Genomic DNA, 24,041 nt, shown 5'->3' on the forward strand with positions numbered 1-24,041 from the left:
TCCCACCATATGCAAGGTCCATTTTCCTGACCATTTCACCAGCGTTGACTATTTAGATTGATTTTCATTTTTACTGTTATAAATCATTTTATGTGTGAATATATTTATGCAAAGAGCTCTTTAGGTAGTCAGTATTATGCTTCTAGTATATTTTCCAAAAAGTGGAATCACTGCATCAAAGAATGTAAACATTTTAAAATCCAAATTGCTTTTAGCAATTATGCCTTCATGTGACTTCACTCTAGACATCTTGATTGAAGTGTGGCATCAACTCGTCTCTTCCTGCTTTGATCTGTTCCCTAAGGTGAACTTTTTAGATAGCTACTCTCATTCATTAAATATTTATTTTCACTAGTTTAAATCTCAGAGGGCAGGCTTCTATAAGTTGCATCTTTCTGGGGATAAGGATATCATCTTGCTAATGAATAAGTATCCCACATACTCTTACCATAGCGATTGTGTTTGATTTAATCTCAACTTCATGATATGTGTGTGGATATGTTACTTCAGTTTACCAGCAAACACACACATTGCAGCGGAGTGGGCAGGAATCTGAGCTCAGGGGTCAGATGTGCGTGGATTCAAATCATAGCTCTACTGCCTGTGAGTTTGTGACTTGGGAAATTATTTACCCTGACTGAGCTTTAGCTTTTTCATTTGTTGAATGGGAATCATAGTAGTACTTAACTCAGAAGGCTGCTGTGAGAATTAAGTGAGATAACGAATCCAAAGCCCTGGATAACCACATCATTAGGCACACAATATGCCCTCATAGCATTACCGTTATTAGCAAGCCAACCTCCAGTTCCAATGGCCCCTGCTTGTGGCTCCCCTTCCTGACAGCAGACAGGACTGTGAAGAGCCTGGCCCAGCCCCCCAGGGAACAGGGCATCTTCCCTCTTTTCTGCTTCTAATGGAGCTTAGTTCACATACAGCTAAGTGTATCATAATTATTTGTTTTACTCTAATTTCATTTTAGCCTTCAAAAAATTGTTTAGTCTTTTACAAGTTTGAACATCGTAGATGCCACTGAAGTCCCATCGGACAAATGCTCCTGTTCTCCAATCTCTCTCCCTGTAAATGAGTTAACTACACTCATGAATTTAGTATTTTTCCTTCCAGACCTAAAAAAAAATTGTACTCACAGAAAATGCATAGTGTATGTGTGGTGTTTTACATAATTAATATCAGGCTGCAAATAATATTTTGCATATTGTACTTTTTCACCAAATGTTTCTGAATTTATCCATGTCAGTGAATATGGATCTAGTTACTCTATTTTAATACTGTATAATTTTTCATTTTATATGTATATTTCACATTTTATTTACTCATTCTTCTGTTGATCTCCAGGATTCAAGCCTAATAACTTTTGGTAGCTTTCTGATGCTTTCAAATACATTAAAATATTTTGTCGTTTTTCTAGTTATTAGGGGGAGAGTGGGTCCTGACTTTGTTTCCAGGTCTTCAATCTGCAAAGCACATACACAGAAATATTCCCACAAAAATTTTTCCAATAAAAAGCCACAGATGAACTGTGAATAAAAATTTCAACCCTCAAGGGAGGGAGGGAAAGAAAAACAGAAGAGGAGGGGATCAACTACCTTCTTTGACTGTATTTTGAAAAATTAGGAATTAAAATAGCTAACTTTATTAAGTACTTAATAAGTGCCAGGCACCAGTCTAGATTCTTTAAATATATTGTTATTAAATTTCATTTAATCAGAACAATAGTCCCATGAAATAGGTACTATTATTATCAGTCATATACAAATGAGGGATCTGAGGTGAAATAACTTGCCCAAGTTGTCACAGGAATCATTGGTAGAACAGGGATTCAAAGCAGAGTAGTGGTTGATTCCACAGGCTTAATCACTTCAGTCTACTGCTAGGTTAAAAGTAGAATTAGAAAAAAGAACAAATACTTGCAAATTAAAAGTCAAAGAGAGAATACGTGAATTGGAGGAGAGTGCAGGATATTCTGTAGCACAGAGGCAAATAAGACAAGAAAAGAAAATAGACTGAAAGTCTTGAAATATGCCTACTGGATAATCTAGAAACTAAATTACTGAGTGAAGGCAACTGAGAGGGAAGAGGTAGGAAGCAAAAAGCAATGGCAATGATTGAATTTTGTAAAATATTTTAGTAAATGTAATTAAGGATTGAGAGTAAATTTCTTAATATACTTTTTGTGTTTTTTCTCATAGTAAAATAACATCTCTAAACAAATGGTATTAAAATAGGGTGTATGCACCCCAGATGGTTAGCAAAATAGTCTCCTGGTAATCAAAAAGAAAATATTAGAACTTTCATCTTTATATTATATTTCATTATATATATGTATATATTTTATAATTTATATAATATGTTGATAAGCAATGCATGTCTATAGTTTATAAATAAGTAATACACTTATATTGCAGGTGTGTGCTCAAAATTCATTAATTGAGTATTTGAAAATGTTGGAGACCACAGTTCTAGGCAAAATAGCAAAGAATATTGGGTCAGGGATTATTCAATGAGTAACGAAAGTATCCTAACCTTTTCGTGTTTTTAAATGAAAGAATAAAAATATTGAAAAAAATAGGATTTCATTAGAAAATTTTATGGGTATATATGGTATAAGTCAGAGTACTTACTAAGTTAGTGTAAATATCCATAGCTTCTGAACAAGCAGAAATAAAATGATAAACTATAGAAAACTTTAGAAATCTGACATTAGTCAAAAAAAGGAGTAACAACAAAGAAGCAAAGATATAGAACAAAAATAATGTGTAGTAGGTTGAATAATGGCCCCCAAAATATATGTCCACATCCTGATCTCTGAAACTTGTAAATGAGACTTTATTTGGAAAAAAGGTCTTTACACATGTAATTAAGAATCCCAAGATGAGAACATTCTGGGTTATCTGGGTGGGCCTTAAGTCCAATGACAAATGTTCTTATAAAAGACACACAGAGGAGTGACACATAGGGAGAGGAGGAGATGGCCAGGTCGAGACAGAGGCAGAGCCTGGAGTGATGCAGCTATGAGTGCAGGAATGCCGACAGCCACCAGAAACTGCATGATGGGAGGAATGGGATCTCCCCCAGAGCCTCTGGAGAGAGCACAGACCTGCCAGCAGCTTAATTTCAGACTTCCGCCTTCCAAAACTTCAAAAGAATAAATTTAAGTTGTTTGAAGCCCCCCAAGTTTGTGGTAATTTGTTATAGCAGCCCTGGTAAGCTAATGTAGATGGTAACAGAAAGCACAATAAAAACACCAAAGAAATAAATCCAAATTTATTAGCAACCATACTAAAGAGTAAGATGATTCATCTGTTAAATGACTATCAGATTGGATTAAATAAAGGAATACAAAACTCAATTATATGCTGGTTACAAGACATGGAGTAAAAAAAATTGATTGCAAAGATTGTAAATAAAAGAATGAAAAAAGATATACAGGGAAATTGTTAACCAAAAGAAAGCTGGGGTAACTATTAATATCAGATTACATAAACTTTAAGACAAAAAAGAATTAATGGGAACAAAAGGGGACAGTACATAATTATATTGGGAAGGATCCACCAAGAGGACTTTATTTGTAAATAAAGTTAAAATACAAATAACAAACTAGGGGAAAGTATTTGCAACTTATATTATAGGCTAAGGGCTAATTTTCTTAATGCATAAGGAACCTCTACACATAAATAAGAAAAAGACAACAATCTTGGAAAAATGGGCAAGAGATATGAATAAATGTTCACAGAAAAGAAAAAACCAAATGGTTCATGAATATATGAAAAAAGCTCAATCTCACTAGTAATGAAAGAAATGCAGTTATAAGCTATGCTGAGATATCATTTTAAAATTATCAGATTGATAAAGATCCAATAAGTTGATTAAATGCTGGATTAGCCAGTGTTCAGGGTGTGATAGAACAGGCCCTCTCACACATTGCTAGTGCAAACTGGGACAACCATCTATGGAGGACAATTTGGCAGTGTCTCATAAAACAACAAAAACCTTTTGATTTACAAATTTCACTTCACCCTATTTGCTATAGTCTGAAAGTTTGTGTCCTCCCCAAATTAATATGATAAAATCTTGTTTGGGGAGGTGATTAGGTCATGAGGGCAGAGCCCTCAGGAATGAGATTACTGCCCTCATAAAATGGCCCAAGGGAGCTTGTTTGTCCCTTCCACAAATGGAGGACACAGCGAAAAGGCACCATCTATGAATCAGAAGGTGGCTCTCACCAGACACCAAATCTGCCAGATCTTGGACTTCCCAGCTTCCAGAATCATGAAAAAATACATTTCTGTTGTGTATAAGTCACCCAGTTTATGGTATTTTGTTACAGCAGCCCAAATGGACGAAGACACAATTTGTCTTGCAGATACCATGAGCAAAATGATGAATTACAAAGGCTATTAATTGCACTACTATTTATAAGAGATTTGATCATATTATAAATATCCATAAAATATAAATACTACTTGTAATGATTAAAAAGAATGAGGGATTTCAGCATGCAGGGACTCATAATGATCCCCTAAGTAAAAAAAGGAATGAGCACAATGGTGTGCACAATATACTGTTCTTTTATAACAGTGGTTAAAATTACATAAGTACCATTTATGAATATCTGTATATAAATATACATTTGCTCACACCTGCACAAAATCTTTCTGGAAGGATACATAAAAAACTGGGAACATTGGTTGCCACTGGTGAGGAGGCCTGATAGGCTGCCAGAGAGGAGCGGGAGGGTGGCTGAAAAACAACCACTCAACCAAACCAACCACCACCAACACTACCCAATCGGCCCGCCTCTACCATCCTCTTATCTCCATAGGAAGAAGAATCAATAGAGATGATCAGCAAAACTAAAAGCTGGTTCTTTAAAAATGTATAGTGAAATAGACAAACCTCTGTGAAAACCTGATCAAGGAAAAGAGAAAATACACAAATAATGTCTGGTAAGGCATGTTCATTCTCCATGGTTGCCTATTGTGTGTCAGGGTTGTGGATGAATGCCATGTCATAGAGAACAGGCAAAGGAGTAGGTTTTATTGGGAAATGGGACACTTACATGGCTGAGTCATCAAGAGAAGACTGAGTCTCCCATCATCCCATGGAGAGAAGGCTGGGCCTTGCTGTGCCCACAGTGGGGATGTGCATTCCACCACAGGGTCCTCTTCCCCTTGTCACCCTCCCTTCTTAAAAGAGCAAACTTGTGAGCAGCTTTATCAGTGGGAGAATAAACAGACCGGCATCAAGAAAACTGGAGAAAATTTAAAATCATTAAAAAATTAAATCAATAGGTAAACTCTGTCTCTCTGTCCCCTCTCAATAAAAACACTAGGATGAGATGGTTTTATAGATGTCTTTTACAAACCAGAAATGGATTTTTTTTTTTTTAAAGAGACAAGGTCTCGCTCTATCACCCAGGCTGGAGTGCAGTGGCGTGATCACAGCTCACTGCAGCCTCAACTTCCCAAGCTCAGGTAATCCTCTTGCCTCGACCTCCCAAGTAGCTGGGACCACAGGTGCATGCCACCATGTCTGAATAATTTAAATTTTTTTTCTAGGGAGGGGGTCTTGCCATGTTGTCCATGCTGGTCTCAAACTTCTGGGCTCAAGCAATCCTCCTACCTTGGCCTCCCAAAGTGCTGGGACTACAGGCATGAGCCACTGTGCCTGGCCTGGGTCATCATTTTTTCATACAAGCTTTTTTGGAGGAAAGAGAGAGAGAGAATTGCTCAGCTTATTTGCATTCCATAAATTTTGATACATTATGTTTTCATTTTCATTTAATTAGAATATTTTCTAATCTCCCTTGTGACTTCTTTTTTATGCATGAGTGCTTAGCAATGTGTTGTTTAATTTCCAGATATTTAGGGATTTTCTAAATATCTTTGTTGTTTACTTATAGTTTAATCCTGTTGAGGCCAGAGAATGTATTTGTAAAATTTTAAATTTGTTGGGATTTGTTTTATGGCCTTAGATACAATCTACCATGATGAATGCTCCGTGTGTGCTTGGGAAAAACTCGTTGAGAGGTGCGTTCTATAAATGTCAGTTTGGTCAAGTTGGTTAATAGTGTTGTTTGAGTCTTCCATACACTTAATGATTTTTCTGTTTACTTGTTCTATCAACTACTGATAGAAGAGTGTGTTGAAGTTTTCAACTGTGAATATACAGATTTTTCTATTTTTCCTTCTAGTCTTGTCAGTTTTTACATTATCTATTTTGAAGCTCTGTTGTTAGACACTTACACATTTAGGATAGTTACAACTTTTTGACAATTTGATCCTTTTTTCATTACGTAATACTCCTCTTTATCCCTGGTAATATTCTTTGTTCTAAAGTCTATTTTGTTTGATGGTTAATACAGCTCCTCCAGCTTTCTTTTGATTAGTGCTTACATGATATACCTTTTTCCATCTTTTAACTTTTAACCTAGTTACCTCTTTATATTTAAAGTGAGTTTCTAGGAGACAACAGATCCATTGGGTCATGTTTTGGTTCTAAGCTGACAAGCTCTGGTTTTTAATTTGAGGTTCCCTCTGTCTCCTGTCTTTCTCATTCGCACGTGGTGAAAGCCCGTGGAAAAGAGCTCATGAGTGACAGCAGACACTCCCGTGCCTGGGTTTCCACCGTCTACACCAGTGGTCCTCAGTCAAAAGCAGTTTTGCCCCCCAAGGCACATTTAGCAATGTCTGAAGATATTTTTGGTTGTCACAAATGGGAGAGGCTGTGGTACTGGTATCTGGTAGGTAGAGGCCAGGACTGCTGCTAAAAGTCCTGCAATTCATGGGGCAGCCTTCCACCACAAATCATTATCCTGCATGTTAATAGCGCCAAAGCTGAGAAACCCTGTTCTAAACTGCTGCGATAGTCCATCCTGGCCTTTAATAATTCACGAAAATGTTAGAATGTTAGCTGCTTTTTTCTTCTCACGTTTATGGCAGTCACCTCTTCCTCCCACGCTTTGACCAAAGGGAAGCTGCTCATGTGCCATGTCTTTCTTCCGAGGGTCTTGTCACCACTCTTTGGAACTCAGTTCACGTAGTGGCCTGAACTCTCTGATGGACTGAAGAAAAGCTACAATTTTGCAGATTGTCTATATTTTTTCATTACTAGGGTGAGGGTGATGTTCTCTTGTGGCTTCGTACATCCTAAGTGGAAGCAGAACGCCTCCCATCTCATTTTTAAATAAACAACTCTAAACCAGGATAAGGACAATTATAGATTAATCTCATTGGTGAACATGGATGCAAAAATCATGAAGTTGTAATAGTATGTATACAGTAGTATATATATTATATATATTTTATATAAATAAATCATGGCCATGAAGGGTTTATCCCAAGAATACAAGGAATGTTCACCAACAAAAATTAATCATCATAATCCAGTCCAACAGATCAAAGGAATAATCCATACAATCATTTAACAGATGCAAAATTTTCTTCTATATAGTTTTAAATCTATTCATGATTTTTAAAACTTGCAAACTAAGACTAGAAGAAAATTTTCTTAAATTAGTATAAAATTCTACCAAATACCTACAATAAATACCATTTAATGGTAAATACCATTACATTCCCACTGAAGTCAGGAATAAGACAAGGATGCCTGCATCACCCCACCATCCAGCATCACACTGGAGGGTCTGTCAATACAATGAGATAAAAAAAGTAAGGCATAAGAATTCATAGAGAAGAGAAAAATTCAATATTTACCAAATGCATAGAATTTTTGAAAATATATTAGAACTAGTTAGATAATTCTGCAGTTTGCTAGCTACAAGGTCAACATGTAAAATCAATACAGTTGCCATTTAACACGGTGCCAGTTAAAAATGTTTTTTTTTTTTAAAAGGTAACATTCACAAGATCTATAAGATATCTAGGAATAAAAAGAACATAGATTTTTTTTTTCAGTATCTTCATGGAAAAACTATAAGCTATCTTTTTTTAAGAGATGGAGTCTCACTCTGTCACTCAGGCTGGTGCCCATATAAAACATCTTTGAAGAGCAAAATGAAGCTCTGACTAAGTGGAAAGACATTTCGTATATAAGAAGGCTCAACAGCTTACAGATGTCCATCTGTCCCCACTTTAATAAATGAAGTAAATGCAATTCTGATCAAAATCTCAACAGTTGTTGCTTTTAAATAATGGAACTCATATAGAAAATGGAAACTTTGAAAATAGCAAAAACAATTTCGACAAAGAAAAATAAGATGAGGGTACTTGGCTTATTATAGCCCTGTGGTAAATAAAATGTTGTGTTATTGGAACAGGGATAGACAAGTAGACCTGTAGAATGGAATAGAGAGCCTGGAAAGAGACCCTCACATAGATGAAAATTTGGGAAATGACAGAAGTGTTGTTACAAGTCATTACAGGAAAGGAAGGACTAGTCAATAAATGATAACCACATGACTGGTTTTCCACATGAAAATAAATTAAGATTCCTACTTTAAACCATATACAAAAATAAACTAAAGTTGAATTAAGAGCTAAATATGAAAAATGCAAAACTGTAAAACTTTCAGGAAAAATAATTCATTAATTTGTTCATTCATTCAACAAATATTTATTGAGCTGCTGTTACACACTGGCCTAGTATTAAGGACAGAGCAGTGAATAAAACAAAGTCCTTGCTCTAGTGATGGTTTATGTTAACAGTAAACAAATAAATATGTAACATGTCAGGTGATGATAAGTGCCATGGAGAAAAATAGAGCAGGGTAAGGGACTAGGAAGTGATCATAGGTGGGTTTGCTACTTTATACAGGGTGGTTGGTGAAGGCTGTCCTGATAGGTGACACCTGAAGAGAGACCCGAAGGAATTGGGGGAGTTTGGCACGTGGATATTCAGGCAAAAGAAATTTTCAGGCAGAAAGACCAGCTGAACAATTGCTCTGAGGCCGGAGAGTACTTGGCCTTTGAAGAACAGCGAGAAGGCCAGTGTGGCTGGGATCGGGGAGAAGGGAGTGGTAGAAGATGAGGTAAAAGAGCAAGTAGTGAGGCCAGGGGACACAGGGCCTTGAAGGCCATGGCAAGGACATCTAAAGGGCATGGCACATCATGGGAGGATTTGTGCTAAGGAGCGACAGGATATGAGTGCAGTTTATAGGATTACTCTAGCTACTGTGCGGAAAGTAGATTGGAAAGGTGCAAGGGTGAAGGGGCAGGGAGTTGTGTTAGAAGGCTATTTCAATAGCCCAGGTAAGGGATGAGGTGACAGGGGTAGAGGTGGTAAGAAGTGGATGTTAATCAAGTGTTCTGATATACTTTGAAGGTAGAGAAGATATAATTTGCTGACGTGGGATGTGAGAGAAGAGGAGAAGCCAAGGTGTGGCGACTCTGAGGCTTAAGCAACTGGGCTAACAATGGTAACTTTTAATAAGATGGTGAACTCTATGGGAGGAACAGGCTTGCCGTAGAGCATTAAGAGCTTGGTTTTAAACACGTTAAGTTAGAGACACTTATCAGACATCAAGTAGGCAGCTGAACAGTATATGAGTCTGGAGTTCAGGAAAGAGGGTGGAGCTTGAGATAGCAATTTGAGAGTGGTCGGTCTAATAAATGGTATCTAAAACCATAGGGCTGGAAGACATCACCTAGTGGGTTAGTATTTACAGAGGAAGGGTCTGAGGACTGGGCCTTGGGATACTCCAATTTTAGAGTTGGGAGGAAAGTGAAGGAACCAGTGAATGAGACTGAGAAGAAGCATTCAGTGAGATTTGAAGAGAACCAAAGAGAAGGAGGTGTGTCAAGAAGGAGCAAGCGAATATGTCAAATGCTGCTGAGAGGCTGGGTAGGGTGAAGATTGAGCATTTATCATTGGATTTAGCAAAGCACAGATTATCTGTGACCTCAATGATAGTTTCAGGGCAGTGGTGATGAAAGGCTGTTTGGAGTAGGTGCAACAAAGAACAGGAGAAGAGTAAGTGGAGAGCGTGCACACAGATAATCTTTTTGAAGAGTTTTTCTGTAGAATGAGGGAGAAAAATGGGATGGTACTTGAGGGCATCATATATTAAGGGATTGTGGTTTTTAAATATAGAAAATATACAGAGTGTTTTCATGCTGATGGGAATGATCCAGTAAAGAACAATAACCTTGAGGAGGTGTGAGAAAGGATGGGACCCAGGGAAAAAAATGGAAGGTTGGTTTTACACAGGAGCACTGACAGTTTATCCACTGTACTAGAAAGAAAAGCAGAGAATTTGGAACCTATGTAAGGGATTGGTAATACTGTTTAAGGGATTGGTAATACTTTTTAGATTGCTTCTACAATCTCAGTGCAATAAGAAACAAGGCCATCAGCTAAGTGAGGAAGTAGAAGGTGTTGGAAGTTTGAGAAAAGAGAAGTTATAAGATAATTGTCTGTAAGAGTATAAGAGAGTGAATTGACCAGGGAAGTGAAGCAAGATTGAAGGGCAGCACTAAAGACCTTCCTAAGGTCAGTGGTCATGAATTTAAAGAAAGACCCTTCACCATGCTTGTGTGTTTTTCCCTAGTCAATATCATTTGCTTGTGTGCTATTAGAGAGTAAACAGAGAGCTACGTTTCTCCAGTTTTGGGTTTTTTTTTCCTGGAAAAGTCCAAGAGAGGAAGAGAAGAGCAAGGGAACAACTACACATACAGATAAGAGACTCTCATGATGGAAGGTGGAATTAAGCTCAGTTATATAGAAGGTGAGGACACGAATGGGGTGACGGATGTGCAAAGTGACAGGTCAGTGGAGAGCGAGCAGGTTCCATTAGGTTTGAAGAATTTTGAAACTGGGCTATTGGAGGGAGGATGCTGAAAGATGAGAAGCCATAGTGAAAGAGTGAGATGCTTCTTTCAAGGTAATGGGGAGAATGCTGTTGTTGGTAATGGCAAGGTCTCACGCATGACTGTGGAAGTTGGTGGCTTGGAGGAGGGTGAGGATAGGATCACCGGGAATGAAGGGGTCAAAGAACTAAGAAGATCATGCTTATGAATGTTGAAGTCACTAATAATTGAGACAGATCTGGTCCTAGAAAGAGACAATGACCCAGGTGCTAAAATCTTCAAGGAATGAGGAATGGTAGGTAACCTGGAGGTCTTAAGATGACCGCAAAAAGTAGAAGTAAAATGAGCAAAGCCTACCAAAACAGGAGTAGGTTCAGAATATGCAAATACCTTAAAAACAAATAAGAAACAAGCAAGCAACCCAATAAGAAATGGACAGAGAACGAACAGGCAATTTACAGAGGAGGAACCCTGAATGACCCAGCAGGAAAAGAGGATCAACCTCACTGCTAATCAAGAAAATGCAAAGCAAGACAAGATGCTCTTTAACATCTACCAGAATGACACAGATGAAAATGTCTGAAAGCACCAGCATTAGGAATGATATGGAGGAATAGGAGCTTTCATACAAGTGTAAGTTGCTACAATGGCTTTGGAAAACAAATTTGGTAATATACAGTAAAAATCAAGATGCATGTGATCTTTGACCCAGCTTCTTCCTCCCAGATATAAACTCTGGGAAAAGCTCACACATGTGTGGTGCAAGGAGATATGCACAGGATACTTATGGCAGCGTTATGTGTAATAGATAAAAATTAAAACAACCTAAATGACCGTCAACAGGAAAGTAGGTAAGTAGATTGTGTTTAGTCACACAATGAGAATATTCTATGCTGGTGCAAGTGAATGAACTAGAGATGCGTATGTTGTGGTTCAGTTCCAAAAACAAGGTTGCTAAAAATCAGTAAGTTGCATAATGATAAGTACAATGTGATAACACCACCTTTGGTAAAGTTTAAAAACAAATAAGACAATACATATGATTTATGAATGCATATGTAGTAAAATGTACAAAACATGAACAAGAAGGATATATACAACTTCTGAACAGCAGCCACCTCTGGGGAGGGCAGAGAGAGGAGAATGGATCTGGAAGAAGCGCAAAGTGGAGGTTCTATTCAATTTGTAATGTTTTATTTCTTTTCTTTTCTTTTCTTTTCTTTTTTTCTTTTTCTTTTTTTTTTTTTTTTTGAGACTGAGTCTCACTCTGTTGCCCAGGCTGGAGTGCAGTGGTGCAATCTTGGTTCACCTCTGCCTCCTGGGTTTAAGCAATTCTCGTGCCTCAGCCTCTCAGTGCTGTTAGGGTGTCAATTTTAGATCTTTCCTGCTTTCTCTTGTGGGCATTTAGTGCTATAAATTTCCCTCTGCACACTGCTTTAAATGCGTCCCACAGATTCTGGTACATTGTGTCTTTGTTCTCATTGGTTTCAAAAACATCTTTATTTCTGCCTTCATTTCGTTATGTACCCAGTAGTCATTCAGGAGCAGGTTGTTCAGTTTCCATATAGTTGTGCAGTTTTGAGTGAGTTTCTTAATCCTGAGTTCTAATTTGATTGCAATGTGGTCTGAGAGACAGTTTGTTTTGATTTCTATTCTTTTACATTTGCTGAGGAGTGCTTTACTTCCAAGTGTGTGGTCAATTTTGGAATAAGTGTGGTGTGGTGCTGAGAAGAATGTATATTCTGTTGATTTGGGGTGGAAAGTTCTGTAGATGTCTATTAGTTCTTCTTGGTGCAGAGCTCAGTTCAATTCCTGGATATCCTTGTTAACCTTCTGTCTCGTTGATCTGGCTGATATTGACAGTGGGGTGTTAAACTCTCCCATTGTTATTGTGTGGGAGTCTAAGTCTCTTTATAGGTCTGTAAGGACTTGCTTTATGAATCTGGGTCCTCCTGTATTGGGTGCATATATATATAGGATAGTTAGCTCTTCTTGTTGGAATGGTAAAGGGAATTGATCCCTTTACCATTATGTAATGGTCTTCTTTGTCTTTTTTGATCTTTGTTGGTTTAAAGTCTGTTTTATCAGAGACTAGGATTGCAACTCCTGCTTTTTTTTTTCCATTTGCTTGGTAGATCTTCCTCTGTCCCTTTATTTTGAGCCTATGTGTGTCTCTGCATGTGAGATGGATCTCCTGAATACAGCACATTGATGGGTCTTGACTCTTTATCCAATTTGCCAGTCTGTGTCTTTTAATTGGGGCATTTAGCCCACTTATATTTAAGGTTAATATTGTTATGTGTGAATTTGATCTTCTCATTATGATGTTAGCTGTTTATTTTGCCCGTTAGTTGATGCTGTTTCTTCCTAGCATAGATGACCTTTACAATTTGGCATGTTTTTGCCATGGCTTGTACCTGTTGTTCCTTTCTACATTTAGTGCTTCCTTCAGGAGCTCTTGTAAGGCAGGCCTGGTGGTGACAAAATCTCTCAGCATTTGCTTGTCTGTAAAGGATTTTATTTCTCCTTCACTTATGAAGCTCAGTTTGACTGGATATGAAATTCTGGGTTGAAAATTCTTTTCTTTAAGAATGTTGAATATTGGCCTCCACTGTCTTCTGGCTTGTAGAGTTTCTGCCAAGAGATCTACTGTTAATCTGGTGGGCTTCCCTTTGTGGTTAACCTGACCTTTCTCTCTTGCTGCGCTTAACATTTTTTCCTTCATTTTAACCTTGGTGAATCTGACAATTATGTGTCTTGGGATTGCTTTTCTTGAGGAGCATCTTTGCGGTGTTCTCTGTATTTCCTGAACTTGAATGTTGGCCTGCCTTGCTAGGTTGGGAAGTTCTCCTGGATAATATCCTGAAGAGTGTTTTCCAACTTGGTTCCATTCTCCCCGTCACTTTCAGGAACACCAATCAAATGTAGATTTGATCTTTTCACATGGTCCCATATTTCTTGCAGGCTTTGTTCATTTCTTTTTACTCTTTTCTTCTTGCTTTATTTCATTAATTTGAACTTCAATCACTGATACTCTTTCTTCAACTTGATCGCATCAGCTATTGAAGCTTATGCATGCGTCATGTAGTTCTCATGCATTGGTTTTCAGCTCCATCAGGTCATTTAAGGTCTTGTCTTCACCGTTTCTTCTAGTTAGCTATTCGTCTAATTTTTTTTCAAGGTTTTTAGCTTCCTTGGGATGGGTTCAAACATCCTCCTTTAGCTTGGAGAAATTTGTTAATACCGACTTTCTGAAGCCCAGTTCTGTCAGCTCATCAAAGTCATCCTCCATCCAGCTTTGTTCCTTTGCTGGAGAGGACCTGTGATCCTTTGGAGGAGAAGTGTTGCTCTGGTTTTTAGAATTTTGAGCTTTTCTGCTCTGGTTTCTTCCCATCTTTGTGGTTTTTTTTTTTTAAATTATACTTTAAGTTTTAGGGTACATGTGCACAACGTGCAGGTTTGTTACATATATAAACATGTGCCATGTTGGTGTGCTGCACCCATTAACTAGTCATTTAACATTAGGTATATCTCCTAATGCTATCCCTCCCCCCTCTCCCCACCCCACAACAGGCCCCGGTGTGTGATGTTCCCCTTCCTCTGTCCATATCCACCTTTGGTCTTTGATGTTGGTGACCTACAGATGGAGTTTTGGTGTGGATGTCCTTTTTGTTGATGTTAATGCTGTTCCTTTCTGTTTGTTAGTTTTCCTTTCAACAGTCAGGTCCCTCAGCTGCAGGTCTGTTGGAGTTTGCTGAAAGTCCACTCCAGACCTTGTTTTCCTGGGTATCACCAGTGGAGGCTGCAGAACAGCAAATATTGCAGAACAGCAAATATTGCAGAACAGCAAATATTGCTGCCTGATCCTTCCTCTTGAAGCTTCATCCCAGAGGGGCATCTGCCTATATGAGGTGTCATTCAGCCCCTACTGGGAGATGTCTTCCAGTTAGGCTACACAGGGGTCAGGGACCCACTGGAGGAGGCAGTCTGTCCATTCTCAGAGCTCAAACACAGTGCTGGGAGAACCACTGCTCTCTTCAGAGCTGTCAGACAGGGACATTTAAGTCTGCAGAAGTTTCTGCTGCCTTTTGTTCAGCTATGCCCTGCCCCCAGAGGTGGAATCTACAGAGGCAACAGGCCTTGCTGGGCTGCGGTGGGTTCTGGCCAGTTTGAGCTTCCTTGTCTGTTTTGTTTACCTACTCAAGCCTCAGCAATGGCAAACACCCCTCCCCCTTCCAGGCTGCTGCCTTGCAGGTCAATCTCAGACTGCTGCACTAGCAGTGAACAAGGCTCCATGGGCATGGGAACTGCCAAGCCATGCGCAGGATATAATCTCCTGGTGTGCCATTTGCTATGACCATTGGAAAAGTGCAGTATTTGGGCAGGAGTATCCTGATTTTCCAAGTACAGTCTATCACAGCTTCCCTTGGCTAGGAAACAGAAATACCCCAACCTCTTGTGCTCCCGGGTAAGGTGATGCCCTGCCCTATTTTGGCTTGCCTTTTGTGGGCTGCACCCACTGTCCAACCAGTCCCAATGAGATGAACCAGGTACCTCAGTTGGAAATTTAGAAATCACCTATCTTCTGTGTCAATCACACTGGGAGCTGCAGACTGTAGCTGTTCCTATTCAGCCATCTTGAAATGGAATCCCTACCTGAAGTGTTATCTTCATCCTGGGTAAATTGTTTGTTCAACTAATTTAATATTTAGCCTTATGATTTTTTGACATCCTCAGTTCCAGTGAGCTTCAGCTCAACTTCACTTCAGCCACTTCCAATTGTGTTGGTGACTTAGACTTGTCATCACCCAGGTCCCTTCTATCTTGAAATATTAAATGTATACATCCTACTCTCTGGCCACGAATTCTTGCTTTTCCACTGGTTTCTGCTCTATTTCCTTTTACATCAGCTCTTCAACATTACAGAGAATTCTTGTTCCCTGACCTCTCTGTATTGTCCTAATCTGTAAATCCCTCTCTCATTTTATTTCCTTCTTTATATAGCCTAGACTGCACAATATATCCCTTCAGTTACTGTCTTGTAAGTTCTTTAATTGCTTTCCTCACTTCTTTTTCACTGTACACTGTTGGGAGAATATTTGTGCCTGATCAATCCAAATGTCCTTTCTTCCATAGCTAAGTTGTGGAAAGTTGTAGAAATTCACTTAACAAATTTGGCTTTTAATGTAAATTGACTTTTGATATCACTCGTCACCTTTTCCACATGATCTTACTCAGGACCACTTCCCTTCCCCATCAACACATATTTAAACCACCAGTTGTATTAGTTTGCTAAAGCTCTGTCTTTTTTTTTTTTTTTGAGACAGAGTCTTACTGTGTCACCAGGCTGGAGTGCAGTCATGAGATCTCAGCTCACTGCAACCTCTGCCTCCCAGGTTCAAGCCATTCTCCTGCCTCAGCCTCCCAAGTAACTGAGACTACAGGCATGCACCACCACACCCAGCTAATTTTTTTTGTATTTTTAGTAGAGACGGGGTTTTACCGTGTTGGCCAGGATGGTCTCAATCTCTTGACCTCATGATCCGCCCACCTTGGCCTCCCGAAGTGCTGGGATTACAGGGGTGAGCCACCATGCCTGGCCCAACTAAAGCTCTGTCTTAATCCATTTTCTATTGCTATTAACAGAATACCACAGACTAGTAATTTATTTTAAAAAGAAATTTATTTCTTCCAGTTCTGGAGGCTGGGAAGTCCACGCTTGAGGGGCCACATCTGGCGAGGGCCTTCTTATTGCATCATAAAAAGATAGAGGGGATTACCTGTCAGGGGGGCAACAGTATGTCAGCTCAGGTCTTTTTTCTTCTCTTTATAAAGCCACCAGTCCCATAATGGAGGCATAACTTGATGACTTTATCTCATCCTAATTTTCTCTCAATGCCTCACCTCCAAATGCCATAAACATATGAATTTGGGGATTTAGGTTCCAACAAATAAAGTTTAGGAGACACATTCAAACCATAGCAGGTTACCATAACACAGCACCATAATCTGAGTAGCTTAAACAACATACATTTATTTTCTCACAGTTCTGGAAGATAGAAGTTCAGAATCAGGGTGTTTTCAGGGTTGATTTCTTCTCAGGCCTCTCTCTTTGGCTTCTAGATGGCCATCTTCTCCCTTTGTCTTCACATGGTTTTTCCTCATGTGTGTCTACATCCTAATCTCTTCTTCTTATAAGGGCATTGGTTATATTAGATTAGGGCCCACCTCAATGTCCTCATTTAACGATCATTACCTCTTTAAAGACCCCACCTCCAAATACGTCACATTCTGAGGTACTTGGGGTTAGGACTCCAATGTATGAATTGGTGGCAGGGGTTAGGCTTTGGCAGATAGACACAATTCAGCCCAGGACAGTCTTCTTAAGCCTGCTCCTTTTCCACCTCGCTCTCCCTCTTTGTAGAGGAGACAGAAATAATTATCTGGCCTCTCCCACTGCCTTATAAATCTGACTGTGAGGAGTTCTCTTCTTTCCCCACCCCCTCCTATTGAGGCAGAAATTTAAAAATAAATATGCATTCATTCACTCTGAAAGTAACAGGCAAGGCAAGGGTTAAAAAGAAAAAAACAGGTTTTCCTCTGCCTAGCAGAGGAAAGTGCAGCAAGCTCACTTCAAGGACAGTTATAAGATAATACTGTTTGAGAAGCCAAGGCCAAAGGAATGGACCCCAGACACCCCCCAGCTCCAGAGCAAGGTTGAAGGAAAAAAAAAGAAAGACAAATTCTTTTACTGTTACTCCTTTCCCAGGCTTCTTAAGCATGATTATGTTTTACAAATGTCTGTATTTAGCCACTTGTTGTTTTTCTTTCAATGCAGCTACAAGGCCACCAGCTATGCAAGGCCACAAGTTATGCTATGCTATAGATTATGTGACCTATCATATTTGATAAACGTTTGGGTTTATTTATTGTAAGTCTGCTTATAAAAACCTGTCTCTGTCTTTGTTTAATGCTCAGCTTTTTGGATGTGAGTCCACTGAGCTGGCGTGTACCTACAATGAACAATCCTTCTGTACTCTCATATCAGTCTCTCTGGTCCTCAGTTTCCTGCAACATTTTTGGTGACCACAAAAGGACCAGAGACAGCAGGTTTACTGTTTCCTTTGGCTCTGGGCGCTGGAGCCCTGGGCCTCAGGAGACCTGTGACCCCAGGTACCACTGGAAGAACTTCAGCCCGGAGAGGAAATCAGCTCTCCCCTGACCCGGCGCCCCTACCCAGCAGTGCAATGGAACCTGAAAGGAGCTACAGGACAATTTCAGAAACAGCACCCTTCAGGAACTGCGGTAAGGTTTTAGGGCCCAAGGCAGGACCTGTCCCATGGGGATGGAAGGGGAGCCTAATCACCTCCTGGGATGTGCCGAATAGTTCGACCCAGAGGGGCTGGGGGCAACAGGAGTAGCTCATCAATTCGGATGAATCTCACACCCCAGTCGACACAGGATGCGAGAGTGGCTCGCTAAGTCAGCTAGGAAACTGGAGATGGTAAGAGTGGCTCGCCACCCCAACTAGGAAACTGGAGGTGGCAAGAGTGGCTCACCACCCCAACTGGGAAAGTAGAGGGGGTGAGAGTGGCTTGCCACCCCAATTACAAACACGGGAACTGGGAGTGGGGAAGTGTGTGGAAGTGTGTGAATGGAGGGGCCTAATTAGGCTCATCAGCTGTGAAGTGGGGAGTCACAGATCTCTTAGCATGGACTGTATCCTCCAAGAACGTGTGGGGCCAACTAAGACTAGTGGTGATCTGCATATGGCTAATAGGAGCTGCCCCATAGCTCAGAGTTGCAGTGAGAATAAGGACCTCTGCAAAGCCAAGCAGCATCTGAAAACTCCCATAATAGGAGATGGTATATTCGGCCGAAATGAGAGGAACAGTGAGTGTGCAAGAGTGATTGTGCTGTGTCGTAAAGGGAGGAATGGGAGGAAAGTCATCAAAAGTTACTCCATTGGAGTACATGTTACAGAACCTTAAGAAAGATTTTGCAAGGGATTATGGACTTAAGCTAAACCCCCAAAGATTGAGAACTCTCTGTGAATTAGAGTGGCCTTCTTTTGGTGTTGGGTGGCTGACTGAAAGAACTATAGATAGGGATAATTGGCTGTGCATTTAAGGTGGTGACAGGGCTTGGAGGACAGCCAGGGTACCCAGACAAATTTCCTTAAATTGATTCATGGTTAAATATAGCACAGACAAGAGCAGCCTGGATCCAGCCCTATTTAGCAGCTTCACTGGCAGACACAGAGTTAAAGGGGAAGTTCCAGAGAGAGCAAGAGAAGCCAGTTTTGCAGGAGCTGCCAGAGGGAACAGAGATTCGTCCCAGCCTACCCCCCTTTGCCAAGGCTAACAGCCCCCCAGGAACCAGATTCAGGAGCTAACACACCCCAAGTTTCACCCCAAAGGGCAGAATCGGAGCCTCGAGAGGCCAGGGAAGGAAGTCAAGATAGTCAAGCAGGCAGTCTCAGATCTGGCTGTGCTTGAGCTATGCAAATGCCTCTCAGGGAGGTGCGAGGACCCATCTATTATTATGATCAAGGCCAGGTTCAAGGGGGCAATGAACTTTCATCTACCAGCCCTTTTCAACCACTGATCTTTTAAACTGGAAATGCCACATTCCCTCCTACACGGAGAAGCCCCAAGCTCTTACAGATCTGATGCAATCCATCTTTCTGACATGCAATCCAACCGGGCCAGACTGCAGGCAGCTCCTCCTCACATTATTTAACACTGAGGAGTGCAGGAGAGTAACATAGGCAGCTCTCTGCTGGCTAGAAGCCAATGCACCAGAAGATGCAGTGAATGCTCAGGTACGTGCTCAGAGTCAGTTCCCAGACCAAGATCCCAACTGGGACCTGGTGGATGCAACACAACTTCAGCGTTTGCAGAGGTACCAAAAGGTCGCTTTTGCAAGGGATAAGAGCTGATAGAAAGCAATTAATATAGGGAAGATTTCAAAAGTGCTTCAGGGAGGTGATGAGAGCCTAAGTCAGTGGCTTTGTGAAGTATTACAGAGACTTTGTGAAGTATTCTGGTTTTACACCCCATTTCACCCTGAGGCTGCTGAAAATCAGCACATGGTAAACACAGCATTGGAAGGGCAAGCCCAGGGTAACATCAAGCAGAAGCTGCAGGCATGAATGCCACTCAGTGTACGTTAATCAGGACCAGAGAACAAAACAGAAAAGAGCAAAAGCAACAAGTGTGGTGCCAGGCAGCTAGGCACGCCAAGGGTTAAGCCCCTTTCCCCAGCCCGGCTCTATCTGGAAAAAGAGGGGGGAGGGGGGGACCAGCACCGGGAGAAGAGCAAAGGAGATGGAAGGGCATAATTCTGACATTTTGCGGCAGGCATCTCCCAAGCCTCTGGGCCAATGATGGCCCAGGGGGACTACGGTTGTGCAGACCCCACCCAGCCCAAAAGAGTAAATGTGAGAAGGGAAAGAAGAAAGTAAAAACAGAAATCCGAAAGAAACAGGAGAGACCTACGGCAGTGTGTGCGTGGGGGCGGGGCCGGTGTCATTGCCTGGCCCGCTGGCCTTAGGAACAGGAGAACTCAGGAAGGAAAAAGGAAGCAGATTGAAGGCTTAAGAAAAAGGCCAATCTGTTGGCAGCAGTCTTTATAGAGAGATTAGCAATGTGAGAGGACGTGGACGCAAATGTGGATGTGGAAGCGGTCAAGTTAGGCAGAGATTCAAGAGCCAGACAAGGCTAGAAAGAGATTAATGTGCGGGATGCAAAAAGAAAGGACACGGGAAGGATGAATGTCCAGAAGGTAATAAAGAGAGTGGTAAATGCTGTGATATAAAGAAGTCATTGGCCAAGGGCTGCCGCACGTTAGAGGAACCAGATACTGATCTGATTGGGCTGGCAAGAGCTGAAGGGTATGAGGACTAGGACAGACCAGGCTCCTTTTCATTAAGCCTCCAGGATCCCGTGGTCACATTAGAAGTTGAAGGCAGCAGGATTCTGCCACATCTGGATCCCAAATTTCTCACTGATGGCTAAGCCACTATATAAAGTTACAAAGGTTGGGTCGGGGGAAGAAAAAGTATCCTTCCTCTGGGACACTGAACTGAGAAGGAGCCATGCCTTCATGCCTTGTGAAAAACTTGCTTATAGACTTTACCGAAATGCCCCATGCTGGAGGCTGGCAGTATATGCTAGTGTTTATTTGCACCTTTTTCATGATGGAGTGAGGCTTTCCCCACTAGGACAGAAAAAGCACGAGAAGTGACTAAAGTACTGTTAAGAGACATTATCCCCGGGTTTGGACTGCCTCTAACTTTAAAGTCAGACAATGGGTCAGCATTTGTAGCTGAAATAGTGCAAGATTTAACAAGACTGTTAAAAATAAAATGGAAGTTACACACAGCCTATCGGCCACAAAGTTCAGGAAAAGTGGAACCACGAACCGGACACTCAAGCAGCTACTGAAGAAATATTGCCAGGAAATTCATCTGAGATAGGATCAGGTTTTGCCTATGGTCCTCCTCTGAGTCAGGTGCACCCCCACCAAACAAACTGGGTATTTACCCTATGAGATTTTGTTCGGTGGGCCACCCCCAAATCATAAGTCAAATTAAAGATGATCTCCAGGAACTAGGGGAATTAACTTTAAGAAAACAAATGCAGAAATAGCCATGCAAAGTGTTCATAATTAGGTACATGAAAAAAATGCCTAAAAACCTGATACCCCTTTAAACCTGGTAACTCTAGGTTAAAAAGTAGAACCCAACTTCTCTAAGACTCATGTGGGATGGGCCCCATACAGTAATCTTGTCCTTTCCCACTGCTGTTAAAGTTGCAGCTGTTGTGTCTTGGATCCACCACAGTTGGCTGAAACCGGCAGCTCAGGACAAGTGAACCAGCCAGCAGGACCCAGACCATTTGACTCGGCTGATCTTGTGACAAGACTGAGTTGCTGCTGAGTACAACAGCCCTGCTCTGGTCACTCCAGAGGCTGACCAGTCTACACACGGGTGAAGCTTGAGGAAACAACAAGCTCTGCTCTAGTCACACACCAGAAGCTGACTAGTCTATGCACAGCTGAAGCTTGAGGACTTGTCAAGCAAGTAAATGTAGTTAGAAATCTTAGGACTAGTAGTTTTCCTGTAATACTGTTTTACTATTGTTCCGTCGCTGTGCTCAATCTTCTTCCCCAGGTAAGGACCTCTTTTGTCCTTGCTGGATATGAATATGCTGTACATTGCTTTGCTGTTGTTACCCCCCTTAACCATGCTAGAAGAATCACCCACAGAAGGGTGTCTCCACCGTACACATACTACTTGGTCAGGGAACAGCATAACTAAAACTCTATTGTACCATACTTATTATGGGTGTATGGGGAATCGCTTAGGAACTTGTACTTATAGTCAAACCACCTACTCAGTTTGTGACCCAGGAAATAACCAACTTTATGTATGTTATGACCCCAAGTTTTCACCTGGTGAATGGTTTGAAATTCGTGCAGTCAAAAGAAGGTCTCCTCTTAAACCAAACCAGGGTCCCTCCCTTTTACTGAGGGACTATTTCTCTGTATTTTGATGCTCGTTAGGTAGCATACCAAGACTCACCCATCTGTGGTAACCTACCTTTGGAAAGATACTATAGAAATAACTACAAATATGTATGCACGCCAAGAGCAACTCCACATTGTTCCCCTGGGACCCCAGAGAAAGATTGTTGGTATTGCATATCATGGCACCCTAGCCACAACAAAGGTCAATTATGCTTACCAAAATGCTGGTGGACTGCAGGTTCCTCCTTACATGTCTACATACACACATACCCAGCAACCTTCATATATGTTATCAAAAAGGGAACCCAGACCCGTCTGGCCCAGCAAGGCACAAAAATGAGGAACGCTATCTATCAGAACAGATTAGCTTTAGACTATCTCCTAGCCCTAGAAGGAGTAGTATGTGGAAAGTTCAATTTAACAAATTGCTGCCTGGAAATCGATGACAATGGAAAGGCAATTATGGAAATAACTGCAAGAATGAGAAAATTAGCCCATGTTCCAGTTCAAACTTGGAAAGGGTGGTCTCCAGATTCTCTCTTTGGAGGCTTGGTTTTTATTTTTCTGAGGGTTCAAGACTTTAATAGGAGTGGTTCTGGCCATATTAGGAAGTTGCCTAATACTCCCTTGTCTCTTACCTCTCCTTGTTAGAAGCATTCAATCGAGTATAGAGGCAATAGTAGCTAGGCAAACTACCACTCAGCTAATGGCTCTGCATAAATATCAACCTTTGTCTAAATAAGAAAACTCGTCCCTTCAGGCAGAACTAAGTAATAGTGATGCCTTCTATTAAACTTCTTTTATAAAAGGCATCAAAGGGGGGAAACTGAGGCAGAAATTTAAAAATAAATATGCATTCATTCACTCCAAGAAAAGTAACAGAAAAGGCAAGGGTTAAAAAGAAAAGAACAAGTTTTCCTCTGCCTAGCAGAGGAAAGTGCAGCAAGCTCACTTCAAGGACAGTAATAAGATAATACTGTTTGAGAAACCAAGGCCAAAGGAATGGACTCCAGATACCCCCCAACACCAGAGCAAGGTTGAAGGAAAAAAAAGAAAGACAAATTCTTTTACTGTTACTCCTTTCCCAGTCTTCTTAAGCATGATTATGTTTTACAAATGTCTGTATTTAGCCGGTTGTTGTTTTTCTTTCAATGCAGCTACAAGGCCACCACCTATGCAAGGCCACAAGTTATGCTATGCTATAGATTATATGACCTATCATTTGGTTAACTGCTTTTGTTTTATTTATTGTAAGTCCACTTATAAAAACCCGATTCTGTCTTTGTTTAATGCTCAGCTTTGTGGATGTGAGTCCGCTGAGCCAGTGTGTACCTAAAATAAACAATCCTCCTATACTCTCATATCAGTCTCTCTGGTCCTCAGTTTCCCACAACACCATAAGTGAAGGCTGTTGCTGTGCTTTGAATATTTGCATGCCTCAAGAATTCATGTCAAAACTTAGTCCCCAGTGCAACAGTGTTATGAGGCAGGACATTTAGGAGGTGATTAGGCCATGAGGATTCCACTGTCATGAATGGGGTTAATGCCTTTATAAAAGGGTTTGAGGTAGTGAGTTCCTCCCTTCTATCCCTTCTGTCATGTGTGGACACTGTGTTTGTCCCCTCCAGAGGTCGCAGCAACTTGGACACAGACAGTAAGCCCTTACCAGACACCAAATTCACTGGCTCCCTGATAGTGGGCTTCCCAGCTCCCAGAACTGTGAGA

The 24,041-nt window shown here is 40.9% G+C and overlaps 1 long non-coding RNA gene across 3 annotated transcripts, besides 1 other annotated feature; it reads left to right on the top strand.

Annotated features, from left to right (window-relative positions):
• The first annotated feature begins 17,473 nt into the window (after positions 1-17,473).
• On the top strand, positions 17,474-23,677 carry LOC105370408 (uncharacterized). Of its 3 annotated transcripts, XR_943609.2 has the most exons (3): positions 17,474-17,715; positions 17,849-18,089; positions 21,600-23,677. It is a non-coding gene; the product is annotated as an uncharacterized LOC105370408 (long non-coding RNA). The 3 variants fall into 3 exon arrangements; XR_943608.4 differs by lacking the exon at positions 17,474-17,715 and having other exon boundaries at positions 17,757-18,089; XR_943610.3 differs by lacking the exon at positions 17,474-17,715 and having other exon boundaries at positions 17,757-18,089; positions 21,631-23,677.
• Positions 19,121-19,637: an enhancer, noted in NCBI's record as "H3K27ac hESC enhancer chr14:24163587-24164103 (GRCh37/hg19 assembly coordinates)". NCBI's record gives its function as "activates a minimal SCP1, AML or CMV promoter by ChIP-STARR-seq in primed H9 embryonic stem cells {active_cell/tissue: H9 hESC(primed)}" and the evidence as "EXISTENCE:reporter gene assay evidence [ECO:0000049][PMID:30033119]".
• Positions 23,678-24,041: the final 364 nt, after the last annotated feature.

Source organism: Homo sapiens, chromosome 14 (assembly GCF_000001405.40).
Source record: "Homo sapiens chromosome 14, GRCh38.p14 Primary Assembly".
Lineage (NCBI taxonomy): Eukaryota > Metazoa > Chordata > Mammalia > Primates > Hominidae > Homo > Homo sapiens.